We start from the raw sequence: 26643 nt of genomic DNA, 5'->3' as shown, positions 1-26643 counted from the left end.
TTGGGTGCAATGAAAGCAGTGATTACAGGGAAATTTATAGCATTGAATTGCCATCTTGGAAAAAAGAAAAACTCTAAAAATCAATCATTTAAAGTTCTACCTTAAGAAACTTGGGAAAAAAAGAGAAATTTAAGCCTTAAGCAAACAGAATTAAATAATAAAAATTACAATAAAAATCAATAAAATTTAAAAATGTAAAACAATAAGGAAAATTAACAAAACCAGGCACTTGCTCTTTGAAAAGATCAATATAATTGATAAGCGTCTAGCCTGGCTAACCAAGAAAAAAAGAGAGAAAACACAAGTTGACAGTATCAGAAATGAAATAGGGGTTATAACTACTGCTCCAATGAACATTAAAAGGTTAACAAAGCCTTACAGTAAACAGCTGCATGCCCACAAATTTTATGTTTCATAGATAAATTCCTTGAAAGACAAGAACTACAAAAACTCATACAAGAATAATATGAATGTGTCTCTATTAAAGAAATTAAATCAATAATGAACAATCTTCTATTAAAGAAACCAACAACTCCAGATGGTTTCACTGATGAATTCTACTAAATACTGAAAGAAATAATACCAATTTTCTATTATTTCTTCCAGAAAATAGAAGCACAGAGAAAATATCCTAATTCATTTTATCAGGAAAGCATTACTTTAATAACAAAACCAGATAAAGACATTACAAGAAAGGAAAACTTCAGACCACCTGTGATTATAAATCTTCAACAAAATAATAGCAATTTGAATGCAACAACGTGTAAAAAGAATTATATGTCACAAATAGCATTTATCACAGTTATGTAAGGCTGGGTTAATTTTTTTTAAGTCAATATATCACATCAACAGGTTAAAGAAGAAAAATATTCTTCTAAACACTTGTATTAGTCCATTTTCACACTGCTGTAAAGAACTGCTCAAGACTAAGTAATTTGTAAAGGAAGGAGGCTTAATTGACTAACAGTTCTGCATGGCTGGGGAGGCCTCAGGAAACTTACAATCATGGTGGAAGGGAAAGGCGAAGCAAGGCACCGTCTTTACAAGGCAGCAAGAAGGAGAAGTGTTGAGAGAAGGGGGAAGAGCCCTTTATAAAACCATCGGATCTCGTGAGAACTCACTCACTATTATGAGAACAGGATGGGAGAAGCCACCCCCCATGATAAAATTGCCTCCACCTGGTCTCTCCCTTGACATGTGGGGATTATGGGGATTATAATTCAAGATGAGATCTAGGTGGGAACACAAAGCCTAACCATATCACCACTGATTCAGCAAAAGCATTTGACAAAATCCATAATTCATGGTAACTAATGATAAAAACTGTCAGCAAACTAGAAAGAAAAAACAACTTCAACTTGATAAAGAACATCTACAAAAACTCACACCTGATGTACTTATGGATAAGAATCTGAATGTTGACCAGCTGCGGTGGCTCACGCCTGTAATCCCAGCACTTTAGGAGGCCAAGGTGGGTGAATCACGAGGTCAAGAAATCAAGACCATCCTGGCCAACATAGTGAAACCACATCTCTACTAAAAATACAAAAATTAGCCAGTCGTGGTGGTAGGTGCCTGTAGTCCCAGCTACTCAGGAGGCTGAGGGAGGAGAATCAGTTGAACCTGGGAGGCAGAGGTTGCAGTGAGCAGAGAGATTGCACCACTACACTCCAGCCTGGTGACAGAGCGAGACTCTGTCTCACCAAAAAAAAAAAAAAAAATCTGAATGTTTTCCCCCTAAAATTGAGTACAAAGCACAATGTCCCTGCTCACTGCTCCTGATTAATATTGTACTAGAAGTCCCAGTTAGTGCAAAGAAAAAGAAACAAGGAGTGTACACACTGGGAAGGAAGAAATTAAACTGCTTTTGTTTATATGTGACATACATGATATGAATGTCTGTGTAGAGAGTCCCATAGAATAAATTTTAAAAACCCACAAAAACCTTTCTAAAACTAATAAGTGACAATAGTAAGACTGCAGAATACAAGGTTAATATGCAAAACCCTATTGCTTTTCTTTATACCAAGAATGAACCATTGGAATTTGAAATATATAACACCGTGCCATTTATATTAGCATCAAAATACTTAGATGTACTTGAAATTCTTAGGCATAAATCTAACAAAATATGTACAGGTTCTGTATGCAGAGAACTACAAAACTCTGATGACAGAAGTCAAAGAAGATCTAAACAAGTGGAGAGATATTCCATGTTCATGGATTAGAAGACTTAATATTGTTGTCAATTTTTCCCTACTTGATTTACAGGTACAGCATGATCCCTATCAAAATCTGAGTAAGCTATTTAGTGGATAGTAACAAACTGATTTTAAAAGTCATGTGGAAGGGCAAAGAAACCAGAATAACTTACTGTACTGAAGAACAATGTTGGAGGACTGACTAGATTTCAAGACTCACTATATTCTGAAGATCTAATGTACATCATGGGTGGCAATGGATGTGTTACTTAAGATTGTGACAATCACTACATTCCTCTAGGAAAGAATGCAGACTGTAACCAGAGACTCTGTTATAACTCCACCGAAGGGGTTGGAAAACACCAACCGAAGTCATTCTGGAAATAAATGGAGTATGTAAGACAACAGTCAAGGAACTATACATAAACATTGTACTAGTTGATAAAGACATTTCCCAGGGAAATGAAGTTAAGAAAAGTTAACAATTCTGAGCCCACTATACATATATACTGGGATTGGATGACTAAGTAAACATGGCAGAAGATGGGAGCCAGATGTCTCACTGTTGGAATGGAAATTTCTAGATCTGCAAGAGGATGGCTAGAATGATGCATATAGTAATGGGTATAGTCAAAGACATCAGTAAGAACTCATATTTAACTTAATATAGATGCAAATAGATATAGATAGAAATATTTATAGATATTCGTATAGACAAGGACAAGTGTACACACATATATTTCTTTGCCCTCTCAGTTGAGGGAGTCTGAGAACAATGACTTCCCAGTACAAACCAGCATAATAGATTTTTTTAAAAAAAAAAATACCATTCCACTTGAGAAACGGTTAATTCTAGCAATGGGGTAGAAAATATACAAGATGAGTCTGGAGCATCTTATAATGCCAAGAATTGCTGAAACACACAAAAAACCTGCAGTCTATTAATGAGAAGGTCAAAGGAGCATAAGAACCAGCTGAAAGAACTCCCAATGGCCAAAGCTGAAACAATTTGAACAAATCATTACAATCTAATAAAGTAGCATTGGGTTATAACCCCAAGCACAAAATATGTATCCTTAAATCTATACTGATATAAATAAATGATTAATAAATGGGTTAGAGAGAAATCTTCCACACAGAAGAATTCCAAATAATTTTTAAAAATTATGTAGCTACTTTGCCCTCAAAGAGGTAAGCATAAATCTCCCCTCAAGTGGCCTGCACGTACTGACTTCCTTCCAAAGAGTATGCAAAGCAGGAAAAGCATAACTTTACAATGGAGAAATGTGACGAACACGTCAGCCAGGTGATCAACATCAACATCAACAGTTATAAATCATGTCAATAGTATGTACATGTACCCTGGATGTGATGTAATGAAAACTATACTTTACCTCTGAGATCTTCCTCCCAAAGACCCATAATCCTGGTCTAATTATGATTTTTTAAAAAATCAGACAAAGTTCAATAGAGGGGTATCTTAGAAAGTACCTAACTACAACTCCTCAAAGCTGTCAAGATAAACAAAAACAAGGAAAGTCTGAGAAACTGTCATAGCCAAGAGAAGCCTAAGGAGACATGACAATTACATGTCATAGGATGAGATTGCAAAACAGAAAAAACATTAGGTAAAAACTGAGGAAATCCAAATAAACTATGGGCTTTAGTTAACTACAAAAAAAATTTAAGAAAAAAAGATAGCCAACATATGTATTGTATGTACTAGGTGCTGTTGGCTTTATGTATATTAACACTATTCATCACCACAACCCCATGATGTAACATTTTTTCTTATTAGAATAGTCGAGACCTGAGTATATTTACAGGCCAGGAGAAAGAATCTAATTGACAGTGAGAGAGACTGGTAGGTTAGAAAAGACACGATTGATTAAGCAAAGTTCTGAAGGAGCTGCCTCAAACTTGCCTCTGTATCAGAGTCACCTGAGGGGCCTTATTAAAATCTAGACACCCCTCCCACCCAGCTTCAGGCCCCACCTCCAGATTCTGATTCTGTAGACTGGAGCTGGGTGGTTTAGCAAGCATCCCCGGTGATTCCAATACAGGTGATACTAGGACTACATATTGAAAAACAATCCACGGCTCAGATGAAGCTAGTAGCCATGGATTAAGGAAAGAGAAAATGCCCAAGAATGTGCATGGTCCAGGAGCTGGTGAGTTTTGCCTGGTGGCTTCCTTTCTCTAAGAAGTGGGAGATAATATCTCTACCAATGAGGAGCTATTTGAAGCAGCTGGGTGCTAGGCAAAAGCAGACAGGTTGGGAACAGACTTGGAGGGAGTAGAAAACACTTGAATGGGATTAGGGAAGGGATTCTTAGGTAACCCTGATCCAGGAAGTCAAAAATTGTAAAGAAGATACTTAACTCGTTGTGAAGGGTGTGAAATACAACTGCTGTTAGTTTTCTACAGAGCTTAAGCAAAGGTGTTTGTAAGGAGAACCTTGTAGGAAATGAAAAGAAACAGATTTCCAAAATTATAATTATGAAGGTCCAACAACGCCCTTTCAACAACACCTAATAGAAAGGCAGCATGGTGTAAAATGCTCTACACCTGGAGCTAGCTAGCCCTCCTGGCCTCTGCCACTTAGTTAACCTTTCTATACCCAGTCTCATCATTTATAAAATAGGGATAGCAGTGGTCTCCACCTCACACAATCATAGTAAGATTTAAATAGTGAACACATGTAAAATTGTTAGAGCAGTGCCTGGCTTGTGGTCAACACTCAAGTGACTGTTAGCTCATTCATACTCCACAATCAGTACTCTCCTTGAATATTGTTCTCTAACATTTCTAAAGTAGTTTTACACACATAACTCAATCTTACTTCAGACATAAATATTTTGTGCCCATTCTACAGGCAGAGAAACTGAATATAAAAGGAAAACAAGTTGTTTGCTTAAGCCTATATAATTAGTACGTGACCAAACAGGAACTGGAAACCAAGTCCCCAAACTCCAGCTGCACTTTCTGAGTGTCTACTATGTGCTAGGTATTGAGGAAGGTGTTTTTTTCACACACTGCTATTATCAATTGCGGAAACTTAGGATAGAGTCAAAGGCCAAACTGTAAAGAAGTGGTGGAACCAGGCCTGAAGAGGAAGTCAGGCTAGATCCAAAGCTGGCTTTCCTTCAGAGATCTCCACCCCTCTGGGTGGAATGTATGTTCCCCACTATCTTGGCTGCCTCTGAGTGACACATGCTGGCACTTACTAGCATGAGGGGATCAGAGATAAATGAATTTCAGTCTTGTCCAAGAAAAGCTCATAGCTTTGTGGAGAACATGAAACAATACACACATAACTGCAATACAAGGTGGAATAGTGCTGTGGGAACTCCAAGAAGGGAGAAATTCCTTCCAGCTGGAGGTGCCATTTAGAGGCAAGGCTTGAAGGAGAGTAGGATTGGGGTAAGTGGATGAGGAGATGAAGATGGGGGTGGGGAAGGGAGCAGGGCAGCAGGAATGCATAAGCTGAGTGGTCAAGCTGCCACAAGGACCTCCCAAGAATAGCCAGTTTGTGCACAAGGCTTTTGGAAGGTAAGATTCGAAAGGGAATTTAAAGTTGGTTTGCAGGGAACAAGGAGTATGAAGCTAAAGAGTTTGAACTTTAATTCTGTAGGCAATGGACAGCCATCAGAGTTGGGCTGCTTTTATTTTTTTTGCAAGTGCTTTCTAAAATTTACCTTTTTAAAAAATTTTTAGATAATTGAAGATTCACATGCAATTGTAGGAAATAATACAGAGAGCTCTCTGGTAACTTTGACTCAGTTTCCCTGATGGTAATATCTTGCAAAATTACAGTCAATGTTACAACCAGAATATTAACATCGATACAGCCCACTGATCTTATTCAGATAGTTTTACTTGTATTCATTTGTGTATGTACTTAATTCTATGGAATTTTACCATGCGTGTAGGTTTGTATCTCTACAACCACATTCAAGATACAGAACAGTTCTCTCAACACAATAATTTCTCATATTGCTATTTTACAAACATATCCACCTTCATCCCATGCCTCCTCCCTCATCCTTAACCCTTGGCAACTACTAATAATACACGATTTCTATAATTTTGTCATTTCAAGATTGCTACAAAGATAGAATCATACGGTATATTTCAGGATTGGCTTTTTTCACTCAGCATAATTTTTTGTGATTCATCTAAGTAGTTTCATATATCAATAATTCTTTTTTATTCCTGAGTAGCATCCCATAATATGAATATGTTGAAGTCAAATAAAATATAGAGACAAATTTCTAAATTCAAAATGTTTTATTAGGGAAGTAAGAATTACAATTTGGGACATGCATACAGACTGGTTGATCTTCAGTCTTTTTTGTGTGGAGGCAAAAAAAGGTTGGAGTTTCCACAAGAAGGAGAAATGTTTTATATTGTTTTGAAAGAAAGTTCATTGGCACTAGTAACATTTTTTAGGGAGCTGGCAAGTACTGATTGGTGAGTGATGGTTGTGGATAAACCTAGTCTAGCATCTCAGCAAGATGTTTCAGTAGCTATTAGATAAAACTGGCTTCAGGCTACAACTGGCAGTTTCATAAGCCAAGATTTCAGAAAATTATATTCTTGGAGCAATGTTATATGTTCTGAGTGATTTTCCCCTTCGATCCCTTGAATATGATTTAGTTGAGGATGACAAAATTGACCCAACTGGTATGATCAACTTCCCATTTTCTTCTTTTGATCAAGATCTTTCTCTGAAAGCATCACTGATCAATCATCTTGAATTTGGCTTAATTGTTCCTCAGTGCTGGGGTAAGCCTGTCCTGGTTGTCTCTGTCCCATGTCGGAAAGAAGGCATGAGGGTCTATGTCAGGGGCTTGGGCCACATTTGAATAACAAAAAGTCCAGAAGGAAAAATTTTCTCAGGGTAATTTTCTCTGGGAAGTATCAAGTTTCCTCTTATCAATACCATGGACAACAGCAATCACCTTGAAGTGTTGGGCTAACATTATCTTCTAAAAATATTTTTAAATTTAACTTTTATTTTAAGTTCAGGGGTACATGTGCAGGTTTGTATATAGGTAAACTTGTGTCATGGGAATTTGTTGTACAGATTATTTCATCACTGAGGTATTAAGCCTAATATCCATTAGTTACTTTTCCTGATCCTCTCCCTCCTCCATCCTCTACCCTCCAATAGGCCCTGGTGTGTGTTGTTCTCTAAATGTCCATGTGTTCTCATCATTTAGCTTCCACTTATAAGTGAGATCATGTTGTATTTGGTTTTCTGTTCCTGCATTAGTTTGTGAAGGATAATGGCCTCCATCTCCATCCATGTTCCTGCAAAGGACATAATCTCATTCTGTTTTATGGCTGCATAGTATTATATGGTATATGTGTGCTACATTTTATCCAGTATACCGTTGATTGGCATTTAGATAGATTCCATGTCTGTGCTATTGTGAATAGTGCTGCAGTGAACATACATGTACATATATGTCTTTATGAGAGAACAATTATATTCCTTTGGGCATATACCCAGTAATGAGATTGCTGAGCCAAATGGTAGTTCTGCCTTTAGGTCTTTGAGGAAGCACCATACTATCTTGTTTTCCACAATGGTTGAACTAATTTACACTCCCACCAACAGTGTATAAACGTTCCTTTTTCTCCACAACCTTGCCAGCATCTGTTATGTTTTGACTTTTTAATAATAGCCATTCTAACTGGTGTAAGATGGTATCTCATTGTGGTTTTGATTTGCATTTCTCTAATGATCAGTGATGAGCTTTTTTTCATATGCTTATTGGCCACAAGTATATCTTCTTTGAAAAGTGTCTATTCATGTCCTTTGCCCACTTTTTAGTGGGGTTGTTTGTTTTTCTCTTATATATTTAAGTTCTTTCTAGAAGCTGGATATTAGACCTTTGTCAGATGCATAGTTTGCAAAAAATGTTTTCCCATTTTGTAGGTTGTCTGTTCACTCTGTTGATAGTTTCTTTTGCTGTGCAGAAGCTCTTTTGTTTAATTTGGTCCCATTGGTCAATTTTGGTTTTGTTGGAGTTGCTTTTGGCATCTTCATCATGAAATCTTTGCCCATCCCTATGTCCAGAATGGTATTGCCTATGTTGTCTTCCAGGATTTTTATAGTTTTAGATTTTAAAATTGTCTTTAATCCATCTTGAGTTGATTTTTGCATATGGTATAAGGAAAGATTCTAGTTTTAATCTTCTGCATATGGCTAGCCAGTGATCCAAGCACCATTTATTAAATAGGGAGTTCTTTCCCCATTGCTTGTTTTTGTCAGCTTGTTGAACATCAGATAGTTGTAGATATGCAGCCTTATTTCTGGGCTCTCTATTCTGTTTCATTGTTCTATGTGTATGTGTTTGTACCAGTACCATGCTGTTTTGTTTACTGTAGCCCTATAGTATACTTTTGCCCAACTATAGTATAGTTTGAAGTTGGGTAGTGTAATGCCTCCAGCTTTGTTCTTTTCCTTAGGATTGTGTTGGCTATTTGAGATCTTTTTGGGTTCTATATGAATTTTAAAATAATTTTTTTCTAGTTCTGTGAAAAATGTCATTGGTAGTTTAATAGAAGTAGCATTGAATCTATAAATTGCTTTGGGCAGTATGACCATTTTAACAATATTGAGTCTATCCATAAGTATGGAATGTTTTTCCATTTGTTTGTGTTATTTCTGATTCCTTTCAGCAGTGTTTTGTAGTTTTCATTGCAGAGATCTTTCACATATCTGGTTAGTTGCATTTCTAGGTTTTTATTTTATTTTATTTTATTTTATTTCATTTTATTTTATGGCAATTGTGAATGGGATCACATTCCTGATTTGGCTCTCAGCTTGACTGTTGTTGCTGCATAGGAATGCTAGTAATTTTTGCACATTGATTTTTGTATCCTGAGACTTTGCTGAGGTTGTTTATCAGATTAAGAAGCTTTTGGGCCAACACTATAAGATTGTCTGGATATAGGATTACATTGTCTACAAACAGGGATAGTTTGACTTCCTCTCTTCCTATTTGGATGCCTTTTATTTCTTTCTCTTGCGTGATTGTTCCCACTGGTATTTCCAGTACTATGTTGAATAAGAATGGTAAGAAAGGGCATCCTTGTCTTGTTCCTCATTTCAAGGGGAATGCTTACAGCTTTTGCCCCTTCAGTAAGATGTTGGCTGTGGGATTTTGGAGATGGTCCTTATTATTTTGAGGTATGTTCCTTCAATGCCTAGTTTGTTGAGGGTTTTAACATGAAAGGGAGTTGAATCTTACTGAAACTCTTTTCTGAATCTATTGAGATGGTCATGTAGTTTTTGGTTTCGGTTCTGTTTATGTGGTGAATCATATTTATTGATTTTCCAGGGATAAAGCCTACTTGATCATGGTGAATAAGCTTTTTGATGTGCTACTGTATTCTGTTTGCCATTACTTAGTAGAAGATTTTTTCATCTATATTCATCAAGGATATAGGCATGAAGTGTTTTTTTAAATTTATTTTTATTATTATTTTTCTTTTTGGTTATGTCTCTGCCAGGTTTTGGTATCAGGATAATGCTGGCCTCATACAATGAGTTAGAGAGCAGTTTCTCTTCCTCAATTTTTTGGAATAGTTTCAGCAGGAATGATACCAGCTCTTCTTTGTGCATCTGGCAGAATTTAGCTGTGATTCCATCTGGTCCTGGGCTTTTTCTTGGTTGGTGGGCTATTTATTACTGACTCAACTTCAGAGCTTGTTATTGGTCTGTTCAGGGATTCAATTTCTTACTGGTTCAGTCTTGGGAGGGTGTATGCATCCAGGAATTCATCCATTTCTTCTAGATTTTCTAGTTTATTTGCATAAGGTTGCTCATAATATTCTCCGATGATTATTTGTATTTCTGTACAGTTAGTGGTAATATCCTCCTTGTCATTTCTGATTGTGTTTATCTGGATCTTCTCTCTTTTCTTATTTATTATTCTAGCTAGTGGTCTATTTTAGTATTTTTTTCAAAAAAAAAAATCAGCTCCTGGATTTGGTGATCTTTTGAATGGTTTTTTGTGTCTCAATCTCCTTCAGTTTGGCTCTAATTTTTGGTTATTCCTTGTCTTCTGCTAGCTTTGAGGTTAGTTTTCACTTGGTTCTCAAGTTCTTTAATTGTGATGTTAGGTTGTTAACTTGAGAGCTTTCTAACTTTTTGATGTGGGCATTTAGTGCTATACATTTCCCTCTCAACACTGCCTTAGCTGTGTTCCAGAGATTCTGGTATGTTATGTCTTTGTTCTCATTAGTTTCAAAGAATTTATTGGTTTCTGCCTTAATTCCATTATTTACCCAAAAGTCATTCAGGAGCAGGTTATTAAATTTCCATGATTCTATGGTTTTGAGTGAATTTCTTAGTCTTAATTTCTAATTTGATTACACTGTGGTCCAACAGATTGTTTGTTATGATTTCAGTTATTTTGCATTTGCTGAGGAGTGTTTTACTTTGGATTATGTGATTGATTTTAGAGTATTTGCCATGTGGCGATGAGAAAAATGTATATTCTATTGTTGTTGTGTGGAGAGTTCTGTCAATGTCAGCAGGTTCATTTGATCCAGTGCTGAGTTCAGGTCCTGAATATCTTAGTTAATTTTCTGTCTCAATGATCTAATATTGTCAATGAGGTGTTAAATTCTCCAAAACTATTATTGTATGGGAGTGTAAATATCTTTAAAGTTGAGAACTTGTTTTATGAATCTGGGTCCTCCTCCTATATGTAGGATAGTCAGGTCTTCTTGTTGAATTGAACCCTTTACCATTAATGCCCTTCTTTGTCTTTTTAAAATTTTTGTTGGTTTAAAGTCTGTTTGTCTGAAAGTATAATTGTAATCCCTGCTTTTTTTCTGTTTTCCATTTGCTTGGTAGATTTTTCTTCATCTCTCTATTTTGAGCCTATGTCTGCAATTGCATGTGAGATGGGTCTCTTGAAGACAGCATGCAAATAAGTCTTGGTTCTTTATCTAGCTTGCCACACTGTGCCTTTTAACTGGGGCATCTAACACATTTACATTCAAGGTTACTATTGATACATGTGGATTTGCTCCTGTCATCATGATATTAGCTGGTTATTTTGCAGATTTGTTTGTGGTTCCTTTACAGTGTCACTGGTCTGTGTACTTCAGTGTGTTTTGTTGTGGCTGGTAACAGCCTTTCCTTTCCATATTTAGTACTTCCTTTAGGAGTTCTTGTAAGGCAGGCCTGGTGGTAACAAATTCCCTCAGCATTTGCTTGTCTGAAAGGATCTTATTTTTCCTTCACTTATGAAGCTTAGTTTCTGGATATGAAATTCTGGGTTGGAATTTCTTTCCTTCAAGAATGTTTAATACTGGCCCCCAATCTCTTCTGGCTTATAGGGTTTCAGCTGAGAGGTCCACTGTTAATCTGGTAGGCTTCCCTTTGTAGTTGACCTGAACTTTCTGTCTAACTGCCTTTAACATTTTCTTTTATTTTGTCCTTGGAGAATCTCATGAATATTTGTCTTGGGGATGATCCTTTTGTGAAGTATCTTACTGGGGGTTCTCTGAATTTGAATGTTGGCCTCTCTAGCTAGGTTGGGGAAGTTCTCTGGATGATATCCTGATATATGTTTTCCAAGTTGGTTTCATTCTCCCCCTCTCTTTCAGGGACACCAATGTGTTGTAGATTTGATCTCTACATAATCCCATATTTCTTGGAGGTTTTGTTCCTTCCTCTTCATTCTTTTTTTCTGCTCATGTCTGACTCTCTTGTTTCAGAAAACCAGTCTTTGAGTTCTGAGATTTTTTTCCCACTGTTTGGTCTGTTCTGCTATTAATAGTTGTCATTGCATTATGACTTGTGGTATGTTTTTCAGCACTATCAGGTTGGTTATGTTCTTTTTTATACTGGCTATTTTGTCTGTCAGCTTCTGCATTGTTTTATCATCATTTTTAGCTTCCTTGGACTGAGTTTCAACATATTCCTGTAGCTCAGTGATCTTCATTCCTATCCATGTTCTGAATTCTATTTGTGTCATATCAACCATCTCTTCTGGTTCTGAACCCTTGCTTGAGAGGTGATGAGGTAATTTGGAGGAAAGAAAGCACTCTGGCTTTTTGAATTGTCAGGGTTCTTATGCTGGTTCTTTCTCATCCTTGTGGGCTTATGTTCTTTCAATCCTTGAGGTTGCTGACCTTTGAATGTTTTTTTTTCTTTTATTCTATTTGATGTCCTTGAGGGTTTGCTCATAGTATAAGGTATATTCAGCTGACTGGTTTCATTTCTGGAAGATTTTACAGAGCCGAGGCTCAGATTCCAATTCCTGTACTATGTGTTCTAACTCTGGGGGACTTGTGTTGGGCTCCAACTTCGTTTTCTGGCTCCTCAAAGTTAGAAACCCACTGCAGTGGGATTGAGGGGGTGGTGGTGGTCAAGGTGCTCCCAGACTCCGAGACCACTGGTCACTACATTCCAGTGCGTGGTGTCTATAGAGTCCAGCCCCACAGAGTCGGTGGGTTTCTCCCCATGTGCAGAGATGAGAGAGCGTACAAATAAAGACAAAAGACAAAGAGATAAAAGAAAAGACAACTAGGCCCGGGGGACCACTACCACCAAGATGCAGAGACCGGTAGTGCCCAGAATGCCAGGCTGCGCTGATAATTATTGGATACAAGACAAAGGGGCAGGATAAGGAGTGTGAACCATCTCCAGTGATAGGTAAGGCCACATGGGTCACGTGTCCACTGGACGGGGGCCCTTCCCTGCCTGGCAGCCAAGGCAGAGAGAGAGAGGAGAAAGAGAGAGACAGCTTACACCATTATTTCTGCTTATTAGAGACTTTTAGTACTTTCACTAATTTGCTACTGCTATCTAAAAGGCAGAGCCAGGTGTACAGGATGGAACATGAAGGCAGACTAGGAGCATGACCACTGAAGCACAGCATCACAGGGAGATGGTTAGGCCTCCAGAAAACTGCAGGTGGGCCTGACTAATGTCAGGCCCTCCACAAGAGGTGGAGGAGTAGAGTCTTCTCTAAACTCCCCCAGGGAAAGGGAGACTTCCTTTCCTTGTCTGCTAAGTAGCAGGTGTTTTTCCTTGACACTAATGCTACCACTAGACCACGGTCCACTTGGTAACGGGCGTCATCCCAGACGCTGGCGTTACCGCTAGACCAAGGAGCCCTCTGGTGGCCCTGTCTGGGCATAACAGAAGGCTCACACTCTTGTCTTCTGGTCACTTCTCACTATGTCTCCTCAGCTCCTATCTCTGTATGGCCTGGTTTTTCCTAGGTTATGATTGTAGAGTGAGGATTATTATAATATTGGAATAAAGAGTAATTACTACAAACTAATGATTAATGATATTCATATAAAATCGTATCTAAGATCTATATCTAGTATAACTATTCTTATTTTATATATTTTATTATACTGGAACAGCTCGTGCCCTTGGTCTCTTGCCTTGGCACCTGGGTGGCTTGCTGCCCACAGTGTCAGCCAAAGCATTTGTAGTGCAGTTATAGTGGGATCCATTCTCATTCACAGGTACCAGCAGCAGTGGTAGTGGCAACTGCGGCAGGGTACTAGGGTGCCTGCCTCCCTGAGGGTATTCACCATAGTGGTGGAGGCAATGCAGCTAGGGGGAGCAGGGGCCCCTGCTGGTGAGGGTGTGCATGGCTGCACTGGTTGTGGTGTTGGCTTGGGAGCTGGATGCTGGCAGGTGCAGGTCTGTGAGCTTTCTCTGTGCCTCACAAGCATGAGTAATTGCTCAGGCCAGGGAGAGATCTGTTGTTTTCTGCACCTAGTTTCACTCCCACAGCAGTGTTAGTGCAAGGGCAGGGCACCGTCGGGGCAGAATTCGCTCTGTGCTCATCAAGGCTCCATCTGCAATGATGGTCAGCAGTGAGAGAGGGTCAGACTGCACTCTCGCGCTGCAGTGGCAGGGTAAGGTGCACACATACTGGTGAGATGGCAGGGCAAGGAAAGCAAAACCTGTCTGCAAAGATATGCACCAGCGAAGCAATGTTGGGAATTGCTGTGGGTCTCAGGGAAGCTGCAATGTGGGGAGGGAGTATGTGGGCTGTGAGGGCCACCCAGCTAGAGCTTTCCAGTCAGGCACAGTCCGCCAGCACAGAAACTATGATGTGGGCCCCCACGTGCCTGAGATTGCCCTGCAAGCAGGTGTGGCTAGGCTAGGGCCTTGGGGGAGGCCAGCAGAGCAAGGGGTGCTCAGGTTGGACCAGCCCCAACTGATGGGCAAGATTGCCCTACAGAGTTCAGGACTAACAGTTCCCCTGGGGCTAAAGTCTCCTATGGAAGTAAGTTGATCCAAGGGGGATGGGTGTCCCTGGCCATGCTCCACTACAGATGTTCCTGCTCCAAACCCTCTGTGCTCCACATCAGCTGGCTTGCTGCCCCTACCAGTTCTCTAAGTAGCCCTTCCTGCCAATTCAAGTGTCCATGGTGGTTGAGGGGTCTCCTCCTGGTGGGGTTCCAGAGGCCTATGGCAAGAATGTGTTGCTCCTTGCAAGTTCAACTCACCCATGCCCTCAGAGCCACTGGGGTCAAGGAAAGAGTCCGGGTGCACGGTAGCCCCATAGAGTGTTCCCAGGTTTCTCCCCACTTCAGCCCAGCTTCTGTGTCTTCCCTACATCATTTTTGGAGGGAAGTGGTAGGGGCAGCCTTCCCTCTGAAAATCTGTTAGGAGTATACCAGCTGTCTCTGTCCCTTGGTAGAAGCTATTCTACCTGGCTATGTCTAGTCAATCATCTTGCTGGGCTAACATTATCTTGTTGGGAGAGCTGGCTTTACAAAGACTAGTCAAGTAATAAGAAAAAAGTTTAAAAATCATAACACACACACACACAAAAAAACCCACTAATATAATCAGTCTGGTCTAAATACTGGTGCTAAACCATGAACCTACTGTTGAAGGTAACCAACTAAAGAAATCAAAAGACCATGTAGGAAACTGGTTGAGTCTTGAGTCCTGTTGTAGCCATTGGGTAAAATTTTATGACTGGGTTGAATTACAGCAGAGAATGTCCAGCTCTACAACAGGGACGATGAGTATAATTTGAACAAAAGATTATGTTAGAATTATGACTGAAAACATACTCGATTTCTATGAATTTATATAATTTTTGAAACATTCATGTCAACATGTACATAAATGTAACTAAAAGAAAATCTAGTATCACTTATTTGACGATGTTTTTATACAATTCACCAAATAAGCCTAGTCATCTCTACAAAATGAGAAATATGTCTTTTAAGGTTTTCCAGGAGCCTAACTGAAAAAATCTCAAAGTTAATTTTAGGTCAAAAAGTCTTAAAATAGGATTTGACCTGGGAGACATTTGTCAAAGATGTTAAAAGGTTCAAAACAGAATCACAGGTTGCTGTGAAATAACAGTTATTCATTTAACCAGTGTCATAATCAAAAGACTTCAAAAGCAATAAGAAAGTCACATGGATTTAGAAACCTTAACCCTTTTAAAACTCATTTTTTTTTAAGTAATCAAAAGCCTAATAAAGGTAACATAGAAAGTTAGTTTGCTAAAACATAAAATCTTTGTTTCTTAGACTCGCTACCAAAAACGTAAAGAAAGCCCTCTTCGGTGTGATTGTTTTTCATTATGGGAAGCTCATTCAGATAACGTGGAAGTTGAACCTGATGAAAAGGGAACTTGAATGTCATGAAACACAGGAAGAATATGTCCAAGGTTATAAGTATACACTATATTATAGAGGAATATAAACAAGAAAACTAGTACCTTGAGCAGGGAACTACATGGTTCTTAGTAACAGCATGCTGTTACTTACCACAGTAACTTTTCTGGTTATATGGAAAAATTCAGACATATCAAGAAAAGCCAAGAGCACAAAATTAAGTTATACTGGAGAAAAACGCTGCTTTTCTACGCCTTCAAGATAAATATTCTAATGTCAGGCCAAAACAGCAATGTTAGAACCAAAAAAAGCCAAAGAGGAGAATGATCATCTCAGGCCTTCTCCAGGGGAGAAAAAAATGAAGGAAATGACATATTGACCTGCAAATCATGTACAGCAAGAAACTGTAAAAGATGAACTTCTGCAATATGAATTTGAGAAATAAAAAAAAAAAAACAACTGTACCTCAAGGAATGAAATTACCACTTTAAATCAAGAAGACAACATTTTTAACCCAAAACTAGGAAAATTAAATAGATGTCAAGGAGAAGATACCTGTTTAAAAACAGAGTATAAATTTAAAAATCAAAACCCCTTAAAATTTTATTAAAATCAGATAATACTTCAAGAAATCTTGTTGTTTTAAATATAAGGAACCAGACTCTGGTTCTGTATCAGTGCCTGTCCCCTGGTCCCCTACCTGAGAACGTTTAATTTTTAGAAAAACACACAAACAATTTGTTTTTAATTCCAGCCAAGTCAATAACACATAAAACTTCTTTTATTAGCTCATCCTTTATTAGTCCTCTTCAACTTTAGACCTTTTATTTTCCTAACCCCTACCTCTTAGTCCTATAATTTTTCTTTTTTTAAAAATGTGGGATAACCAATCATTTTATCTTATCTGACTATGATACAGACATTTATTTTGTATATATGATTTAACATAAAATTTTAAGACTTTAAATTACATGAGTTCATTTATAAACATTTATTTCATTTACAGTTAATTTATTTTTTAACAATTATACCTATATTTCTTACAAAAATTGAGATATTAGATGGAGCTGGTCATTATTTCAAGTTTTTTTAAATTAAATAATTATATAGCCTGTTAACATGAGGTGTTTACCCACATAAGAGCCATAAAGTTAAATACATGGGTATCTGTAGATAACTCAGAAAATACAACTTTTGTTTTTTTCCTTACAGGCAAAGGCTCACTCTGTTGCCCAGGCTAGAGTGCAGTGGTGTGATCATAGCTCACTCTAGCCTTGAACTCTGGGCTCAAGGGATCCCCCCTCCTCAGCCTTAAGAGTAGCTGGGATCACAGGCACATGCCTGGCTAATTTTTAAATTTTTTTATGGAGATTGGGTCTTGTTATGTTACCCAGGCTGATCTCAAACTCCTGGGCTCAAGTGATCCTCCCACCTTGGCCTCTCCAAGTTTTAGCATTGCAGGTGGGAGTCACTACCCAGCCACAGCTGTTTTTGTTAAATAATATTAAATTAATCTTATTTATCAAAGAATTGCATAAATATATATCACTTTGCTTTAGGCCTGGTTTATAGCTTCATGACCTTAATAGCACAGGCAAATATAAAACTGACCAGTGCTGGTGCTCAGAAACTGATATGCCAAAACATGGTATTTGACACGCTAAACTAAAGAAGCCTCAAGGTCTCTCTGACTTTTCCTCCAACCCCACCATCCTTCCCAAAGAAGCTGAAGTTCCTTTATCTGCCTAACAACCAGACCCACCAAGGAGAGCAATTGTTGGTTCTCCTCCTCCTGTTATCTCATCTGTTAAAGAAAAGAAGACCAAAATGTAACCACACCCAAGCAGACCTTTATAGAAGTACAATGACTGCCTCCAAGGATTATTTAAATTCCAAAGAAAACTATTTACAAGTTAATATCTGTTGCTCAATCCAATCATTCTCTCACCAATCATTCATTGCCCCTCAATAAATTCCTCTTCTCCTCCCATAATCTGTTTTACCAGAATCCAAGCCCCCCATTCTTTCTGTAATTTCAAGACTAGTGTATAAACTTCTATAACTCATTGAGAAGTTGGGTCTTTATTCTGAAAGCTCCTGTGTATACACATTAAATACATTTGTATGTCTTTTCTCTTACTAATCAATGTGGCCCATGTCAGTGATTTTCCAGCAAATCTTTGGGGGGCTGAGAGCCATAGCCCCCACACCAGTAAACACAGGCAAAAATATATATTGACAATTAGAAAGACGTTTTTAATTTTATTTTATCAACAATTTTAAAACCAATTACTTTTTTAAAGATTAAGTTACATGAACTAAAAAAATTAGGTTAATTACTATGTTTTTGTGTGAGTGCCCATCTATTTAAACCAATCAGATTAACATTTCTTAAGGGATTTTTGGCCTACCACACTGAATTTTATTATGTAGACATAACATACAACATAATACATGTACATATGTGTAAATATATTTAAACAAATATACACATAAAGGTCTTCTAGCTTTTATTTTAGAATTTTAGTTGTGAGATAGTAAAACATATAAACTTGCTGGTTTATAGAGAACAGTTGGATCCAAATTATTTTTCTGGTAAAATGAGATAAAGGCTATGAATCAAATTTTGGTAAAACAGTTTGAGTTAATTACCAGTGCAGGGACCAAAGGGAAACTTCAGTGAAGGCTCACTGAAAAATCAACCTGCAAAAGGCAGATTAATTGGAGAAAAAGCATACAAATGTATTTAATATGTATACATGGGAGCCTGCAGAATGATGACCCAAGCATATAGAGGAAATTGTCTATTTTTAACTTAGGATTAATAAAATATAGACAGCAATGTAGAAATATGATTGGACAGAAAGAGTATGAGCTAATGCCAATAAAATGAGTGGGGAAACCCAGTGAAAAAAGCCAAACTCTGTAAAATATTTAGAGGTTTATTCTGAGCCAAATATGAGTGACCACGGCCTGTGACACAGCATCAGGAGGTCCTGAGAACATGTGTCCAAGGTGTTTGGACTATAGTTTTCTTTTATACATTTTAGGAAGACAGAAGATACAGGCAAAAACATCAGTCAATATATGTAAGGTATACATTGGTTTGACCTGGAAAGCCGGTACATTTTGGAGGAGGAGGGGTTTGGCCAGTGGTGGCAGGAGGGAGGTTGTGGAAGCCAGGGTTCTTGTTACATATGTGAAGCCTGTAATATGCTTCAGAAAGAATAGATGGCATATGTACCTCAAAAGGTAAATGACCTTAAACGGTGTCAGACTCTTAGTTAAATCTCTCCCGGATCAGAGAAAGACCTGGAAAGGGAAGGAGATTGTCCACAGAACACAAATTTCCCTCGCAAAAGATAGCTTTGCACAGGACCATTCCAAAATATGTCAGAAATATATTTTGGGGTAAAATACTTTGATCGCCCTTAGGGCTGCTACCTGTCATGTGATGCTATACCAGAATCAGGTTGGAATTTGTTTTGAGACAGGTTCTCACTTTGTTGCTCAGATTGGAGTACAGTGGCTGTGATCACGGCTCACTGCAGCCTCGATCTCCTTGATGTGGGAGGCTCAAGTGATCCTCCCACATCAGCCTCCCAAATAGCTGGGACTACAGGCGGCCACCACCACACTGGGCTAAATTTTTTTAAAGTAGAGACAAGTTCTCCCCATGTTGCCCAGGCTGGTCTCTAACTCCTGGCCTCAACCTCCTTATTCTCTAGGATTACAGGCGCCAGGCTAGACCTCACAGGTCTTTAGACTTCTACGCACCAGGTACCTGGTAGGGGGAGGGATTATAGTGGCAGAAGAGCAGTACCAGTGGCCCACACCACACACCCTGGCCTCAGCTGGCTGGGGCACACAAAACCAGGTGCTACCGTCAACGACTAGGCCCATAGGGTACTGCTGTCAAAACCTGCTGCCAACAACTTCCACACACTCCCCAAAACGCTCGGTAGGCGGTGGTGCGCAGCTTTCAATGCATCCGCCGCCAGGCGCTCACAGGCAAGGGAGAAAGAAGCCAGACGGAGCTCGGAGATGTGGAGGGCAGACGCAGGCGCATTTGGAAAAGGGACTGGCGGTGGGAGGCGCAGAGGGAAAAAGGAACGACACAATCGGGCTTCCTAGCCGCTGGCGGACCCGATGGGGCGTCCTGCGAGGGTTCGGCGAGGGTTCTGCCAGGATAGTAGCATTGCGCCCAAGGAGTGAGAGGCACCCGGGGCTACTGGAGCCAGACCCTCAACCCGCCCTAGTGGGAGGCGAAGAACAACGAAAGCCTCGTATTCCCATTTCTCTAATGGCTAATGACATTAAAGGTTTTCATATGGTTATTTGCCATCTGCATATCTTCAGTGAAGTGTCTGTTTATGTCTTCTGACTATTTTCTAATTGGATTTTTAAAAATAATTGATTTTTGAGTTATTTACATATTCTAGATACTGGTTGTATGCCAGATATATGGCTTGTAAATATTTTCTCCTAGGTAAACCTTTTCAGTATCGTTACAGGGTCTTTCACAAAGCAAAAGTTTTAAATTTATGGAGTCTAATTCATCAACATTTCTTTTTACCGGTCTTGCCACTAATGTCAATTTAAGAACCTTTTGCCTAGCCTTAGACAATAGTTTGTTGTTTTTTAAAACCGTTTTGTAATTTTACTCGTCACAGTTATATCTAGCCACTTAATTTTTATGTAAGGGTTATTTTTGGCGGGGGGGAATCTATAGATGTCCTGTCTTTTCAGTATCATTTGTGGAAAAGATTATCTGTCCTGCATTAAACTGCTTTTGGACTTTCGTCTAAAATCAGTTGGACCGGTTTTTGTTGGCAAAGTTTTGCCTGAAGCTTATTCCAACAGGTGAGAAAAAGTCCACAGTTTAACAGTTCCTCCCCAACCTGTAACCCCGCCTTGAACTTCTGGACTAGCCCCTCGATTGTTGTAGATGCCAAGCGGACCTCGCGCCGCTCTGCGTTGGGCCAGCCCCTCACAGCTGGTTTCTTACCACGTATTGCGCAAGCGGAATCTATGCCTGTTACCCACACTCCCTGCGCCCCCGCACCCCGCTCCTGTGCGCAAGTCGGAATATAAAACCGCGGAGGAGTGAGCTCTTGGGGTGTCCAGTTGGTTGCCGCGGCAGTCTCTCCGAGCAGCGCATTTGTCTTCTAGGCTGCTTGGTTCGTGCCTCCGAGAAAGGTAAGTCTTTCTTTCGCTTTTTTAGGGGTACTTGAAAACAACAAGTGTCAGACAAAGCAGCAGATGCTGTTGCGCAGTAGAAGTTTATGGGCGAGTTGTCCCTGAAACTGGAACCAGGTCTTTCTTGGCGCGATTACGCAAGAACCACCCGCAGCCCTGCGGGCTCCTGGCAGGTCCTGCAACTGCACTTTGGATAGTCCCGTTGGGAAGCTAGCACTTTTTAATATAGAAGAACGAGGTTTGATAAGTGTGCGAGCTTAAAGGTTGACACAGTGTCCACTATTACAGCTGCGTAGGTAGCTAGTGTTCAGGAAGTAATAGTGGAGTCATGTAGTGTGAAAGTAAGATTGAAATGGGCGAGGAGGGTAGCAGCCGCCACAGCCACCAGAGAGAAACCTGACCTTGCAGGTGCGTGGTGATGTCCATGAGCCAGGCTGGTGCCGCAACAGCAGCGGCGGGACCTTGAGCTCCGCACGGCCGCTGGGTTTGGACGCCCTCTGGTTCCTGGAAACTTTCACCTCCCCCTCAGCCTGAGGCCAGGTGGCCTGGGAAGGTGGAAGGAGTGTGGAGGGGAGTGGGGGGGGGGGTCCACTGCCTGAGAATGAGAATTCTCTTCACATCTGGAAACTTCAGTTATCACGTGTGTCCTTTACCAATTTTTTTTCTTTTATTTTCTTTTTGATAGAGACGGCGGTCTCCCTATGTTACCCAGGCTAGTCTTGAACTCCTGTGCTTAAGCGATCCTCCCACCTTGACTTCCCAAAGTGCTGGAATTACAGGCATGAGCCAATGCGCCCGGCTGCTTTACCAATTTTCTATGAATGAATTTGTACATACATCCCCTAGAGCAGGAAGTAATGTAAAACAGAATAATTAGTAATGCACATTTCCTAATGTGGGATGTTGGTGGCCAAGAGATATTTGGTCTTTACTGGAACTCTTGATACTAACATGGAGTTTATAATAGTTGTGGAGAGTGCAGACAAGGCTAGGATTTCTGTGACTAGAGAACTCTTAGTGCGTGAAGACCTAAGGAAAGCTGGATTGTTGATTTTTGTTAATAAATAAGATGTGAAAGATTGCATCACTGTAGCAGAAATCTCCTAGTTTTTTAAGCTAAATTCTATTAAAGGTCATCATTGCTAAAGGAATTGTGCCCAGGATTTGGATAGCTGATGTCATTACTTAATATTAGATGATATCAACTAACCACATCTCATAGACTGGAATAAAGTGCTAGATTTTACCTGAAAGCTGCAAAAATGAATGGTTTAGATATATGTATGTATTTATTTTATATCAATTTCAAATATTTACTGTATTAACCTCCCTGGCCCCCTTTAATCAAGAATATAAAATCATCTACTTAAATTTTGCCACTTAAGTTTAGAACACTCTTAGAATCACACTATCTTAAAGAAGCCAGACTAGAATTAGAAGCAAGTTAAGTCTGAAGATATAACAACCAGCAACAACATTTTTTTTTTTCAAATGAAAACTCTAATATGGGGTGGGTATGTTGTGTCACACCTGTAATCCCAACACTTTGGGAGGCTGATGCAGGAGGATCACTTGAACACAGGAGTTCAAGACCAGCCTGGACAACATAGCAAAACCCTGTCCCTACAAAAAATAAGAAAATTAGCTGGGCATGGTGTCACATGCCTGTAGTCCCAGCTACTCGGGAGGCTGAGGTGAGAGGATTGATTGATCCCAGGAGGTTGAGGCTGCAGTGAGTCATGATCGCATGACTGCACTCCAACCTGAGGGACAGAGCAAGACCCTGACTCAAAAAAAAAAAACAAAAAAAAAAAAACCACCACCAAAACTCTAATATGGACATATTACTCTCTCATGGGACTTGCACATTCTAAAAAGGGTCCTTTTCCCCAGTACTGGGAGAGTATGTGTTCAACTACGCAGCCAGCAAGACAGGCTAGTTTATATAGGGAGTGTGCTATTCACAAAAAGCCTCTCTTCTCTTTCTGGTATTGTACATGACACAATCATAGCTGTACCTGAAGAGAAGTGCATTTTAAGGACCATCATCACCTAGAAACATGTATAAATTTCTATACCTAGTGCCACAGGAATGACATTGCCTTGTACTATTCCTACCTCTGTCCAGAGGCCAGCTATGTGGTCTGTCTGCATGGTGCCTAGAACTTTTTCCATCTGACCTAGGATGCTTCTGAAGCAGTCCCCCTGGGCAGCTGTCTGGTATTTAGGATATACCTGTGAGAAAAGTTTCTTACAAACCTAATCTACTATGTTTATTCCTGAACTCAAAAAGTTCATTGACTGTTCAAATCCTGAAATTTTCTCTATTTCCATAAGGCTGAATTAAAAGTACTTTGTTAAAGGTAGTAGCCATGGCAAAAGAAAAACCACTGTTCTGTAGAAAAACTCATTCAATATTTACAATCTTTTCTAATCAGAGATTAGATCCTGAAGAGAAAGGTTCATATATATATATATATATATATATATATATATATTTTTTTTTTTTTTTTTTTTTTTTTTTTTTTACTCCACTGTCATTGTGACTAAGGATTCATGAACTAAGACCCCTCCCTCAGCTCTTGGTGGCACATGGTGACAGCATGCTCAGAGCAAAGGTGCTCCCCATGCCTCTTCTGGGGCTGCACTGACTGCAGGTACCTCCCCTCTCTACATCCCACACCACTGATACCAAAAACCCCCTCCTTTCTCCTGTACTGATGACTCTGTAGCTTTAACCAGGGCGGCGGTGTCACTCTAAATGTCACCTTGGCATTCAGCCCCATAGAGTGGGGAAAATTCCCTCACCTGTTTCTCTTTGACTGTTCAGTCCTCTTCAATTAAAATCTTAATTTTACAAGCGAGGAAATGAGAGTGTTTCTTGTAGGGGTGTAGTGAGAATTTAATAAAACAGTTTAAGGAAAGAAAACAAAAGGTAGTATTGCTGCACTTTCTAGATGGTAAAAAGCAAACCACCATGTCTGTTTAATATATATCACCTGCTGGTCCCTCGGTCTAGCAGGCTGAACTGTGTGCCTGGGAATTTTCTTCTCGCTGTGTGCACCCCTTTACGTCACAGGGTGGACTCTCTTCAGAGTCCTAGTGGAGCAGCTGGCCAGGCTGACATGATCTGACAACATTGTAGGTTACCACTACCATCTCTCACCGTCTCACTTTCTTCCTAGGGGTCTCCTGCTGCCAGCTAAGTGTGGGAGAACTTGTGCACGTATCTCCCCTCCGAATCCCAACGATGGGTAACGCCAGCTTTGGCTCCAAGGAACAGAAGCTGCTGAAGCGGTTGCGGCTTCTGCCCGCCCTGCTTATCCTCCGCGCCTTCAAGCCCCACAGGAAGATCAGAGATTACCGCGTCGTGGTAGTCGGCACCGCTGGTGTGGGGAAAAGTACGCTGCTGCACAAGTGGGCGAGCGGCAACTTCCGTCATGAGTACCTGCCGACCATTGAAAATACCTACTGCCAGTTGCTGGGCTGCAGCCACGGTGTGCTTTCCCTGCACATCACCGACAGCAAGAGTGGCGACGGCAACCGCGCTCTGCAGCGCCACGTTATAGCCCGGGGCCACGCCTTCGTCCTGGTCTACTCAGTCACCAAGAAGGAAACCCTGGAAGAGCTGAAGGCCTTCTATGAGCTGATCTGCAAGATCAAAGGTAACAACCTGCATAAGTTCCCCATCGTGCTGGTGGGCAATAAAAGTGATGACACCCACCGGGAGGTGGCCCTGAATGATGGTGCCACCTGTGCGATGGAGTGGAATTGCGCCTTCATGGAGATTTCAGCCAAGACCGATGTGAATGTGCAGGAGCTGTTCCACATGCTGCTGAATTACAAGAAAAAGCCCACCACCGGCCTCCAGGAGCCCGAGAAGAAATCCCAGATGCCCAACACCACTGAGAAGCTGCTTGACAAGTGCATAATCATGTGAGCCCTGGGCCTTAAGAGCCAGCTCTTCCTATCCTGTAGCGTGTAGAAAACGTGGACTCATTTCACTATGTTACATGTACATGGTTGATTTTGTGCTGTTGTTTGGACTGTAACATCCATGTTGTCAATACGTATACCTTGTAAGTGGATAACTTTTCTTTTTCCCAGGCCAGAGAATTCAAATTGTTAAAACATTGGCATTTGAAGAGGAGAACAAAATGTAGCATGATGTATTTAAAGTAAGGCCTTTAGTAATGAATGTAATGAGAGAAAATGTTTTGAAAAGAACAAAACATCAAAATGAATAGAAAGAAAAATTGGAAGGCGTCCTTTTGGTAACCCGATTATTGTGTATTACCTTTAAATATTTCACATCCTGTAAGTGCTTAATCATATCTTTTAATTGTGTATTTAAGAAAAGTGTTTTCACAACAAAAGCTTTTGATAAATTGCTGCGTGACATATACTAAATAAAAAAATGAATATGTTGATCATTAGGGGTGTGGGAGCAGAGAAAATTGTGAAAGTGACTCTCACTAAAGATGTTAGTAGTTTCTCATGTCATTTAAAAATGTTTGAGTATTCTGCATAGCAGTTTGTAAAAGTGTAACAGCTTATTGACTTAATAAAGCTTTTCCTGCATGCAATCAGCTGTAAGAATTTGTCTCACCAGAAAACAAAACATTGCCCATTGTATTAAAATTTAAACCATATCTGTTAAAAGTTTCCAATAAGAACTTCACACATGGATGTCCTTGCCATGTTGAAATTATCCAATATGGGAGGGGGGTGTTTTAGGGAGGTCTCTGCAATACAGAGCTGTTTTGTGTCTTTCCTGAACTGACATCCCGAAGAACTCCAGGCATCTTTGAGGAAGATGGTCACAGTGTTGCTGTCTCAGAGGAAGCGGGTGAAAAGCAAGCCTCTGCCTTCTGCCTCTTCCTATATTCTGAAATACTGGATATAGGCAATAGGGAGCAGAATGAAAGACAAGGGGAGGAATGATATTTGAGAGACTCCCCCATAAGGGAGTTTTTAAAGAGATTATATTTGAACATAATTTTTTGAGCGAGGGAATAAAGTATACATATCCTTGCTTTTGAGAGTTTTTTTTTTTTTTTTTAAATTGGGAGAGGTTCAGGGGAGGCTCTTAATCTAGTGATTTTTTTCCCCACAAAATATTATTGAACAAATATCTATTGAACAATGTATGTGTTTCTAGACGAGAAGCACATTGTTGAGAAGGAATCGTAAACATGATTTTTTTTTTTTTTTTTTGAGACGGAGTCTCTTTCGCCCAGGCTGGACTGCAGTGGCGCTGTCTCGGCTCACTACAAGCTCCGCCTCCCGGGTTCACGCCATTCTCCTGCCTCAGCCTCCGAGTAGCTGGGACTACAGGCGCCCGCCACCACTCCCGGCTAATTTTTTCTATTTTTAGTAGAGACGGGATTTCACCGTGTTAGCCAGGATGGTCTCGATCTCCTGACCTCGTGATCCGCCTGCCTCGGCCTCCCAAAGTGCTGGGATTACAGGCATGAGCCACTGCGCCCGGCCGTAAACATGATTTCATGGTACTATAGACATTTTCAAGCTTAGAAGATCTATTCAGTGGCTCGTTTTTAAATAATTATTTTAAAATTTCCCTATTCATTTTCATAGCAAT

At 39.9% G+C, this 26643-nt stretch overlaps 1 protein-coding gene, 1 long non-coding RNA gene and 1 pseudogene across 2 annotated transcripts in view; 2 read left to right on the top strand and 1 right to left on the bottom strand.

Moving 5' to 3' along the window:
- GNG12-AS1 (GNG12, DIRAS3 and WLS antisense RNA 1) overlaps positions 1–26643 on the bottom strand; it is a 370700-nt gene that overhangs the window by 131399 nt on the left and 212658 nt on the right. The gene's annotated exons all lie outside the window — the stretch shown is intronic.
- On the top strand, positions 20962–25627 carry DIRAS3 (DIRAS family GTPase 3). Its single transcript, NM_004675.5, has 2 exons — positions 20962–21041; positions 24227–25627. The coding sequence occupies exon 2, from the start codon at positions 24292–24294 to the stop codon at positions 24979–24981; it is 690 nt and encodes a 229-aa protein (NP_004666.1). The 5' UTR covers positions 20962–21041; positions 24227–24291; the 3' UTR covers positions 24982–25627.
- ARL5AP3 (ARL5A pseudogene 3) lies at positions 21844–22229 on the top strand (annotated as a pseudogene).

The sequence above is a fragment of the Homo sapiens genome, chromosome 1 (assembly GCF_000001405.40).
Source record: "Homo sapiens chromosome 1, GRCh38.p14 Primary Assembly".
Lineage (NCBI taxonomy): Eukaryota > Metazoa > Chordata > Mammalia > Primates > Hominidae > Homo > Homo sapiens.
Note: the sequence above shows the minus strand (reverse complement) of the source record. Positions and strands in the feature narration are given on the sequence as shown.